Source organism: Homo sapiens, chromosome 8 (assembly GCF_000001405.40).
Source record: "Homo sapiens chromosome 8, GRCh38.p14 Primary Assembly".
Classification (NCBI taxonomy): Eukaryota; Metazoa; Chordata; class Mammalia; order Primates; family Hominidae; genus Homo; species Homo sapiens.
In genome coordinates, this window is record NC_000008.11 from 77,436,711 (window position 1) to 77,449,510 (window position 12,800).

The window sequence follows — 12,800 nt, forward strand, 5'->3', positions numbered from 1 at the left end:
CATGCACTGTCAAATAGAAAGCTTATTCTGTGGTTGTTGGGTAGAATGTTCTGTAAATATCTGTTAAGTCCATTTGTTCCAGGGTATAGTTTAAATCCATTGTTCTTTGTTGACTTCCTGTCTTGATGACCTGCGTAGTGCTGTCAGTGGAGTATTGGAGGCCCTCACTATTATTGTGGTGGTGTTTATCTCATTTCTTAGGACTATTAGTAATTGTTTTATAAATTTGGGAGCTCCAGTGTTAGGTGCATATGTATTTAGAATTGTGATATTTTCCTGTTGGACAAAGCCTTTTATCATTATATAATGTCCCGCTTTGTCTTTTTAACTATTGTAACTTTAAAGTTTGTTTTTTCTGATATAAGAATAGCTACTGCTGCTATTTGTTGCCTGTATACTTTGGCCTTTTCTTTTCTTTTTTTGGATTTTTGTTTTATAGGTCCTGTGAGATTTATGTTTTAAAGAGGTTCTGTTTAGATGTGTTTCTAGGATTTGTTTCAAGATTTAGAGCTCCATTTAGCAGTTCTTGTAGTGCTGGCTTGGTAGTGAGGAATTCTCTTAGCATTTGTTTGTCTGAAAAAGACTATCTTTCCTTCATTTATAAAGCTTCATTTTTCTGGATACAAAATTTTTGGCTGATAATTGTTTTGTTTGAGAAGGTTGAAGATAGGGCCCCAATCCCTTTCAGCTTGTAGGGTTTCTTCTGAGAAATCTGCTGTTAATCTGACAGTTTTGTTTTTTTTTAAATAGGTTACCTGCTGCTTTTGCCTCACAGCTCTTAGGATTCTTTCCTTCATCTTAACTTTAGATAACCTGATGACAATGTGTCTAGGTGATGATCTTTTTGCAATGAATTTCCCAGGTATTTTTTGAGCTTCTTGTATTTGGATATCTAGGTCTCTAGCAAGGCTAGGGAAGTTTTCCTTGATTATTTCCCAAATATGTTTTTCAAACTTTTAGATTTCTCTTCTTCCTCGGGAACATTGATTATTCTTTGGTTTGGTCTTTTAACATACTACTAGGCTTCTTGGAGGCTTTGTTCATATTTTCTTATTCTTTTTTCTTTGTCTTTGTTTAATTGGGTTAATTTAAAAACCTTGTCTTTGAGGTCTGAATTTTATTCTTCTGCTTGTTCAATTCTATTGGTGAGATTTTCCAGAGCATTTTACATTTATATAAGTGCATCCATTGTTTCCTGAAGTTTTGATTGTTTTTTTATTTATGCTACCTATTTCACTGAAGATTTCTCCCTTCACTTCTTGTATCATTTTGTTTTTTAAATTTCCTTAAATTGGGCTTCACTTTTCTCTGGTGCCTCCTTGATTAGCTTAATAATTAACCTTCTAAATTATTTCTCTGGTTAATCAGGGATTTCTTTTTGGTTTTTACCCATTGCTGGTGAGCTAATGTGATGTTCTGGAGGTTAAAAAACTTTGTTTTATCACTTTACCAGAGTTAGGTTTCTGGTTCCTTCTCATTTGGATAGGCTCTGTCAGAGGGAAGGTCAAGGGCTCAAGGCTTTTGTTCAGATTTTTTGGCCCATGAGGTGTTCCCTTGATGTACTACTCTCCCCCTTTTCCTAGGGATGTGGATTCATGAGAGTCAAGCTGTAGTGATTGTTATCTCTCTTCTGAATGTAGCCACCCAGCAACTCTACCAGGCCCCAGGCTGGCACTGGGGGTAGTCTGCACAGAGTCCTGTGATGTGAACCATCTGCGGTCTCTCAGCCATGGATACCAGCACAGTATTCAGTGTGTCTCCCAGGTCCTGCAGGAGCAATCCAGTTCCTTCAGAGGATCTGTGGGTTCCCTCGGTTTTCCTAATGTATTCCTGAAGTCGTTCCGGAGCAAAAGTTCTAAAATCTGTTTTAAAAGCGTGTTCTTCTGATGTGATTTTGTTGTCTATGGGGATATCATTTTGTCCTCGTTCTCTTTTATCTTATAATAACTTTGAGATTTAACCATTATGCATTTATTTGGTTCATTTTTAATAAAAGTAAGTGTTTCTAAACTTTTAAAACTTGATGGAGTTCAGTATGAACTTCACAGTTATCTTTATTCTCTTCTTGTTTGTATAGTGCTCAAATATATATTGACTTGATTTCTTAAATCTTCTCTCTCTGAACTCTCCTCATTTCATTTTTCTCTCTTAATTTTCTCTATTGGCCTATCTTGCTCAATTTTTTAACAGTTGTATGACAGTATAAGTGACATACAATAAACAGCATAGAGTTCAGTTGTATAAACTTGTAAGTTTTGACATATATATATATGTATATATACCTGTGAAACCATCATTGAACCAAGAGTTTCCTTGTGATATTTCATAATTCCTACCTGATGTTTCTTCCCATGCCTTTGACTATGCCTATACAACCGCTGATCTGCTTTGTGTTACTAGAGATTAATGTGATTTTTTTTTAATTTTATATAAATAAAATCATATAGTATGTACTTTTTTGTATGGCTTATTTTTTCCACATAACCTCTTGAGATTTATTTACATTATATCATGTATCACTATTTCATTCTGTATTATTGTGGATTAGTGTGGAATTAAAATACCAGTTTCTTTATCCATTCATCTGTTAATGGCCCCTTAGGTGTAGTTTCAGGCTGTTGTAATAAATATGCTCTGAACATTTGAGCACAAGTCTTTGCATAGTTGATAGTTTCATTATATCTTGGGTAAATAACTAGGCACAGAATAACTGAGTTGTATGGCAGGTGTATATTTAACTTAAATAAAAAAACCTGCTAAACTCTTTCACAAAGTGGTTGTACCATTTTTACAATAACATCAGCAGTATATGAGTGTTCTATTTCTTTCACATGTGCAACAGTACTTGGTATTAGGTAACTTTATAATTTTAGGTATTTTGATATGTGTGTAGTAGTAATTGTGTTTTTATTTTGCAATTCCCTACTGACTAGTGGTGTTAAGAATACTTAAATGTACTTACTAATCATCAGTATCTCTTTTATGGTAAAATGTATATTGAATTATTTTGTCTATTTTTATTGGGTTTGTATATTTATTACTTAACTGTCAAGAGTTTACATGTTCTGGATACAAATCCTTTTTATAATACATACTGTGCAAATATTTTTTCCTGCTCTGTGTCATGTCTTTTTATCTTGATATCAGTGTCTTTTGAGAGCAGAACTTCTTAATTTTGATAAACTCCAGTATATTACTTTTTTCTTTTATGCCTTATGCTTCTGGAAAACCAAATTCATAAATTTTTTTTCTAGGTGTTTCATAGTTTTAGGTTTCATCTTTAGGTCTATTTTTATTTAAACTAATTTTTGCATGTGATGTGAGAGGTTTCTTACTTAATGGATAACCACTTGTTCCAGCATCATGTTAAAGACAATTTTAATGTTAAAGAAATTTTAATTTTCTTTAACATTAGTCATTGAATTGTCCTTGCAATTTTCTCAAAAACAATTGAACGTATATATATGCACACACACACACACACACACACACACACACACACATACATATGTTCATGTGCACTGATCCATTGTCTATGTCTTTAGTCCAATATTATAATGTTTTATATTATAATTTTAATGTTAAAGAAATTTTAATTTTCTTCATCGAATTGCCCTTGCAATTTTCTTAAAACCAATTGATCATATATATATATATTTATATACACACACACACATATGTTCATGTGCATTGATCCATTGTCTATGTCTTTAGTCCAATATTATGTTTCTATTACTGCAGTTTTATAATTCTTTATGTTTGTCTTTAGTCCAATATTACAATGTTTTCATTACTGCAGTTTTATAATTCTTTACATTTTATTTTGAAACATAATAATTGTACATATTTATAGGATAATGTTTTAATACATGTACACATTGTGTTATGATTAAATCAGGGTAATTAGCTGATGTATCACCTAAAACATTTATGGCTTTTTATGATGAAAACATAAAAAACCCTCTTTTCTTTTTAATATAGTTATTTTAAAATGTAATTATATTGTTAACTATAGTTATACTATTGTAAAATATAACACTGAACTGATTCCTCTAACCTATCTGTAATTATGTTCCTGTTGACCAGTTTACTCTCCTGCCCTCTTCTCCTCTAACCTTCTGAACTCCTGGTAACTATCAATCTATTCTCTCCTTCCATGAGATCAGCTTTTAAAAATTATGCAAATGAGTGAGATCATGCAATGTTTGTCTTTCTGTATCTGACATTTCATTTAACATAATTTTCTCCAGTTTCATACATGTCGTGGCAAATGAAAACAGAATTTCATTCTGTTTTCTGGCTGAGTAGTATTCCATTATCTCTGTGTACGTGTGTGTGTGCGTGTGTGTGTGTGTAATTTTCTTTCTTTATTAATCAGTAATAGTGATGCAATAAACATGAGAATGCAGATATCTCTTGAACATACTGATTTATTTCCTTTAGATATATACCTGGCAATAGGATTTCTGGATCCTACAATGGTTTCATTTTTAATTATTTTAGGAACATCTGCAACCCTTTCTATAATGCCTGTTCTAATGTACATTTTCATCAAGAGTGCATATCTTTCTATATATCCTTACTGACACTTGTTATTTTTTGTCTTTTTGATAATAGTAATTTTAACATATTAGATGATATCTCACTTTGGGTTTAATTTGCATTTCCCTGATTATTGATGGTGTTGAACATATTTTCCTACATCTGTTGGCCATTTGTATGTCACCTTTTGAGAAATGTCTCTTCAGATATTTTCTTTATTTTTTTAAAATTGGGTTGTTCATTTACTGTTGAGTTGCTTGAGTTCCTTATACATTTTGGATATTGACCACTTTTCAGATATATTGACCACTTTTCAGATGCATAGTTAGCAAATACTTTCCCTCATACTGTAGATTGTCTCTTTATTGAATGTTTCTTTTGCTGTGTGCAGAAGCTTTTTAGTTTGATGTAATCCCATTTGTCTATTTTTGCTTCTGTTTTTTTTTTTTTTGTGATTTTGAGGTCTTATTAAAAAATTTCTTGCCCAGTCTAATTTCATGAAACACTTCCCCTATGTGGTCTTCTAGTAGTTTCATAGTTCTGGGTCTTATATTTAAGTCTTAAATCGTTGATCTTTGTATAAAATGAGAAACAGGAATCTAGTTTTATCCTCCTACATGTGAATATCCAGTTTGCCCAGACTTATTTATAAGAGAGGCTGTCCTTTCCCCCATGTATGTTTATGGCACCTTTGTGAAAATTCAGTTGGCTGTAAATGCACAGATTTATTTCCAGCTTCTCTGTTTTGTTCTATTAGTCTGCATGCCTGATTTTATGCCAGTGACATGCAGTTTTGATTGCTATAGCTTTTTCACGTATTTTGACATCAAGTAGTATGATTCCTCCACCTTTATTCTTTATGCTCTAAACTGCTTTGGCAATCTGCGGCCTTTGTATTTCCATATGAATTTTAAGTGTTTTCTTTTTCTATTATTTTCAAATGTTAAACTAAGCTTGCACTACTGGAGTAAATCCAACTTGGTATTAATGTGCAATCACTTTATACAAATAAGTTGCCAACATTTTGTTAGAAGTTTTTGTGTCAAATTTCATGGGGAACAGTGGTCTGTGGTTTTCTGTATTTGTAATATTATCAGTTTGGTATCAGGTTAATGCTGGCCTCAAAAATATAAATTATGAAGTATTTCTCCTTCAGTTTTTCTGGAAGAGTTTTCTAGAATTGATATAGTTTCATTTTTAATTAAGAACATTTTATTCAGGAAGCCACTTATAAGGTCTTTTGCTGGTTTGTTTGACAAATGTTTCAACAATTTCATTTAATAGATACATATAAGGCTGTATAGGTTATCTATATTTTCTTGAAGGAATTTTGGTAGTGCATGTCTTTCAACAAATTTTCTTATTTCTTCTAAATTTTTGAATTTATTGGCACAACATTTTCTATACTAATTTCTTATTTTCCTTTAAGTAACTGTAAACTCTCCATAGGTGTCACTTTTAAGATTCATGGTATGGGTAATTTATCTTCTCTCTTTTTTTCTTATCAGTCTGGCTAGAGGTTTGTTAATTTTATTGATCTCAAATAGTTGTATTTCATTTTTATTGATTTTTCTCTCTTGTTTTTACTTTCTAGTTTGTTGATATCTGTTCTGCTTTTATTATCTTCTTTCTTCCAATTATTTATACCTGTGTTTACTCTTGTTTTTCTAGTTCTTAAGATGGAAAATGAGGTAACTGATCTGAGAACATTTTTTTTCTAACATAGCTATTTAGTTCTATAAATCTCCCTCTAAATTCGACTATAATATTATCCCCCAAATTTTGACATGTGTTTGCACTTTTATTGAGGACAAAATGCTTTTAAATTTTTATGCTTCTTTCTTGAATGAATGGAATGAAGAGAGAATGAAATAAAAAAAATTATATATTTAGAAATATATTTATGTAGGTATACACCTATGGTATATATATGTATGTACATACACCTACCTATATATTTAGGAAGGTATATATACACCTACATAAATGTATGTATGTGTATACCTATATATATATATATACCATAAATGTATATATCTCCATATAGGTAGATGCATATATATGCAGATGTGTGTATGTATATAGGTAGATATATATGTAAATAGGTAGATATATATGTAGATATGTATATATACCTACATTACCCATCTACATACCTACATACATACCTATATATTTATGCCTACTATATATAAATATATATACACCTACATAAATGGATACATATATATGCCTTCATAAATACACACACACACACACACACTCATACATAAATGGATATATAGGTAAGTATACAGAATTATAGCGCATATTTATGGTATATATATGTATATATACACATTTATGTGTGGGTATATATATATGTATATATACACATTTATGTGTGGGTATATATATATGTATATACACACATTTATGTGTGTATATATATATAAACTGTTATTTTAGTTTTGAATCAAAATAAAATAATTCACCAATTATTTTATTTTGACTCAAAAGTAAAATAGCAGTTCATATAAAAATTGTTACCAGCTGTAAAGAAACCACTTGACAAATAATGCTTCTCTCATCAAATTTAATAATTTTTAAATTAACCTAGAATTCTAGGTATTCATCATGCTGGCATAATGTTTTGAATTACATATACACAGTGGAATGGTTAAATCTAAGTATATTACCAAAGGGATTACTTCTCATAATTATCATCTTTGTAGTGAGAATACAGTATTCATTCTCTTAACATTTTTCAAGAACTCAATATATTGTCATTAACTGTAGTCACCATGCTCTACAATCTGTCCCTTGAACTTTTTTCCTCCTATGTAAGTGTGATCACGTGTCCTTTGACCAATGCTTCTGAATAGCACTAGATATTTGTAGGAGTTTCTACTTTAATTCTAGAAATGCTGGACTTCTCTCCTAGCTCCCTGTTCCAGAGTGGCTAAATAATAACAGCAAAATTTCAGTTGAAAACTCTTTGCCAAAAATCTGTGTATTCCTGATGGGCAGAGATGTGTTCATCTTTGATTTCCACTATACCTATTTCAGTATATTTAACTCTATTTTTGAAATTAGTTACGATTTTGAAGTTGTTAAACAATTATTTTGGGAAATAATAGAAATGTCTTAAAAGGCATTTAATATGTGCAGATTATTGTGTTAAATTATTTGACAATATTATTTTATTTAATCTACACAGTGACATCATTGTGTCAGTTTAATCCTTATTTTCAGGTGAGAAATTTGAAGTTTAATTAACTCATCCTAGTTCACAAGAACTTGTACATTTTGAAGCTAGTACTATAGCTAAGCAGGATAGATTCAGAGCTTGCACACCAATGCTGTGTTTTACTCTCTCCCCAAAAGACAACATATTGTGTGTTTTGTTCATTTGAAATCAAATCATAAATTACATACCTAATTTTTGCTATATCCCAGGAGTTAAATTAGAAAATATATCAGTGGGAGAGAATGCATTTTTGCGTTAGAAGTTGCTTGTAGGCCCAAAGTGGATTTCCACCTCAACATGGCATTTTCTGTTCTCTTCCCAGTAGCAGTAAACAAGTTATTTCTTGCCTCCTGCTGTTATTAACCCATCCTTCAGTGTAGCTGAATGTCTACCTGGTTTAGAGTGTATGTCTCCCTCTCTTTTGTTTTCTTCTGTGCTATGCCTCTTTCTGTGCTCCAGTTCCCCAACTCCGATAGCCCCAGCAAAAAGCCCTCATCTCCTTCTAGTTACCTTGACCATGAACTTATTTATTGCCAGATATAGTGCTTTGCCTGCCAAATGACTGCTTCAGAAAATTAGATTGATTCACTCCCAAAGAAGAAAATCTAGCCAAAAATTCTGTCACTTCCATTCTTTCCCAATTTAAAGATAGCGCTGAGATTTTACAGCTCATTCAGTACAGACTAGAGACTATTCCTCAGAAGAGGAAAGTGACCTGCTATTTAAGGGCATGCACACAGACAGTGGCAGCCCAGCATCTGAACCTATGGCTCTTTGTTCAACTTGAACAGATTAATAGTAAGTCATAAAATATATGATTTTATATTATTTTTACTCCACATACTAGAAATAATAGTTTATTTATCTGTGCAAATGTACATTTTAAATAAGGACCTTCTAAAAAACAGCAACCCAAGTAAACATAAAAAGGTATACCATATTTTCACAATTCAAAGATGATCTTTTTTTCAACATTTTAATATTTTTGAGGCTTACTATAGTAAATATGTTTACTACTATTGCATTTTTGTTTATTTGTTTTTTCTTAAATAAATAAATTAAGTGTGCCTGTCCAGAAAATGAGTGTCTATGAATTTGTCTGGATATTTACCTTTGTAACATCATAGACTGCAGACTCATTATCCAACTTACACTTTTAGTACATGATAAAACCATTTTATATTGACAGTCTTTGGTTGTAGCAAGACACAGATAAGTTTAGAATAAAAATCATTCTCTTTTCTCAAATGGTAAAAACCTTTGCTTTTAAAATGACTTATTTACAGTAGTACCATATAACATTAATTGTGTTAATGGTCTTTCTATTTTAACTAATTGTAATAATGACATTTTGAGTAAAAATGATATATTTTTATTACAGTCATTTAAAAATTGTATATGAAGTTATGTTTCTTTGAGCAAAATACTGATAATTTTTGGTATGTATATTTCATTGACACAGATAAAGTAGGTTTAAAATGGACATAAATTACTCAGAACATTTTAATTCAGTTTTTCATTCAAAGATTTGGAGACTTCTTTTTAGCCTTTAACATGGAAATGTAAAGATTCTTAGGATAACTGGGTCAGTTACACATGATGTCATGAGGAGTTTGACTTAATTATACTTGTTTAACTTACCTCACTCTTCCTATATAGGCCCTTGTCTCAGAGCTTTGTCACTTTCACAAAAAACTTCCTACATTGTCTATGAAAATTATATTTAGGCTTAATTTTGCAACTACATAAACTCATTCTGTCGTGGTAGGCCCTAAATTGTGGGTCCTTAAATTTGGTTCATGTGATTTTATTCGCTTTGTTTTTAGTATTTGGTATGAAATTGGCAATAGAGAATAAATTGTATGCACTTGCATTATCTCTTCTATATGCTAGCTTTCTGTTGAGGTTTGAAGACTTTAGCCTGATAAATTGAAAGTAAAAAAAATTTCTGTAGTAAACGTGTCAAAAAGTTACAGCTTATATTTCCTTATAAGTGAAAATAGAAACTTTCCATGCTGAAAAAGTGCCATGAATCAGAAATTGCAAATTTGTGGTTTCTCTCTATTAAGAGAGCCAGAAATTCAATATACATGAACATTATAGTCCCACCATCTATTTCAAAAAGAGAAGAATAAAGAATAATCATCCTGGAAGGTATGTTAGAAAATGCATCATGTGTCTCATATAATCTGGCTTAAATTTCAAGATGGCCAGGAATATGAATATTTTAAAATTAAGTCCTAAAACTTAAAGTATAATAATAATAATAATAAAAACAATAAAAAATTTAAATTTGTAATGCTTTCCACGTAGTTAATTTTTAAAAATCTACCATGCCAAGGACTTACATAATATGTTAAACCACATTGTTTCATGTGTATTGTTTCAAGTGTATTGTTACATACTGTTTTTTTTTTTTTTTGCAAAATTTTAGCTGTTTCTCTAATGACTTTTTAAGCACTTAACGTAGTATTTTCCTAAACGACTACTCATCTCCATTTTCTCATTTTAGTATTTCAGTAGATCACAGGAACAAAATTTGAGTATTATTACAAGGAAACTCTGTTTAGAAGACTTTTTAGCTGATAATATTATGTATAGAACCAAAAACAAATATTGGAAAAAAGTTGTACACATGATGCTATTTTCATTGTTGTATAATATTAATAACCTCCAGCCTGGACTATAGGGCAAGACTCAGTATTTAAAAAAAGTCAAAATATTTTAGGCACTGTTGTTGGGTGTTTAAATCACAGACTATGAGAAGATTATATTGTCTTAGTCTCCAGACTATTAACAGTGCCTAACAAACACTCCCCATATGTTAGATGAAGATTGCCAAAATCAATTTGTTTGCCAAGCCCCATCAGTATAGATATTGCAATCAGGTCTTCAACTTATTTTTTTTTAATTTAAAACCTATGGAGCACTATGGAACTATTACATTAAACACACTGTGAAACATAAGAAGAAATGGAAAAATCAAGATCAAATCAACATCAATGAACTAGGTTTTGCTCACTTTGCTTCGTAGATGACTATACTAGATTAATAAGACCCGTCAGGTCTTCCTGTACACATCACATGCTGTCTAAATCTACCCTTAGCCTAGTGACAGATCTTCCAAAAAAACTGTAAATAAATAAATACAATTCCCCTTGCACTTCAAAAACCAGTCATTCTGTTTCATTCTATTTCTGCATGTCTGGAAATTCTATGAGGACTCAGAGTTTTCTCTCACTGACAATATTTTACCTTCATTATCTCAAAATGCTTCTCTAAATCTTGGTACCCTTTCCACACAAAAGGGATCTAATAATTAACCAACTATATAATTTTATATTCCAAGCAAGGCACTGTCAATAATTAATAAGTACACCACAATAACAGGCATAACAATATTTTTTTACTGGGAAAATAATGTCTTATTTTTATCCCAGCAATAAAGGTTATTATAAGGTATAAATAAAATAACCACCCTCTCAACTGCATATCACCTGATATCCTTTGTTTATGCAAAAGTCATCTATACAAAATTGCTTAACATTCCTACTAATTAGTATAGCACTGTCTTTATCTCACTCAAAGTTTCTCAATAGAAACATTTGGTGTTTGTCATTTTATAAATATTTTCATCTTTCTGAACTTTTTAGAAAAATCATTTAATTTTAATTGACATGGTTATATATATTTATTATGTGCAACAGAAAGTTCTGACATACAATGGCATCACATACTAATCATTTTGTGGTGAGAACAGTCAAAATCCACGGTCTTAGTAATCTTCAAGAATACAAGACGTTGGAATTGACTATATTCACCTTTTTTTTTTTTTTTTACAATAGATCCCTTGACCTTAAAATCTTTCACATATTAACAAAAAACATTTTGAAAAGAATTTAATAAAATAGGCCTTTTAATTCCTTGGGTTTTTGAAAAGTGCTAAACAAGAATTCGTGCAGAGGGGAATTGTGGAACATTAAAACAAAAAATCTCAAAAACACACCACGATAAAATTGCTAGTAGGGACCAGTTTAGTGAATATCTGCAAGGGAAACAATTCACTGCTTGAGAAAAAGATTTTTTTTTTTTTTTTTACTAAGTCAATTTAATCACACTATGGAAACAAAAGGACTACTTTGTTTTTTTCACTTTTATTTATGCTTCAGTTATAACAGCACTACATATAATTTTATTAGGCCAAGTTAATGGTATCTGGTACTGTTTAGTGCATAATCCTTGTACTCTGTAATGTTAACTGCATAACTTCTTGGGGTGAGACATATATCAGGTCAGAAGGCAAGACTTGGTTGTATTGAACCCACTAAACTGAAATTAATAGGTTTCGAGTTTTCAAGTTTTAGAATATATTTAATTTAATTAATTTAAGTTTAAATTGAGTTCATTTCTCAGCAAAATTTTTAAGAGTATAGTTAATTAGCTAAGGTCCAAATTTGTCAGTTGATTCTAATTTGATGAGGGATTTCTTCCAGGCTCTTAATTGCTATATTTGCCTTTTGAAAATTATAAATTCAAAGTCTGAAGAAAGCCACTAGCCAATTGAGTAAATGCTTTACAGAGAAAACATGTATTAACAAGAAATATTATTGGAACTGTGTGTGTTATTTTTAAAAAAATAAAAATTGTGTGTGATAACAGAACTGTAGTTATGTTTTTCAGATATCACTGGAAGTTCAGTAGGAAAAAGTCTCTGTTTATTGAAAAAGAAGACTTTCTATTGAATAAAAGTGTTACAAAATAGTGAACGTAATTCTTTATGAGAATGGGAAATTTAAAGGATACCTTTTCATTTCAATTCATAAAGTGCAACTACTATCAAAAATATGTTGCCTATGTAAATGTTCTTCCTGAAAGATACATGGCAGAAAGCCATTTTAAACAGTTTTTTCTGACATTTAGGGAAAATAGTGCTCTACTTAACAAAGTAGTACATCTAGCTGTTCCACTGTATTGTCTAAATTACCATTGTAAGACTAGAAAACTTTACAATTCTTTCCATGAAAATAAA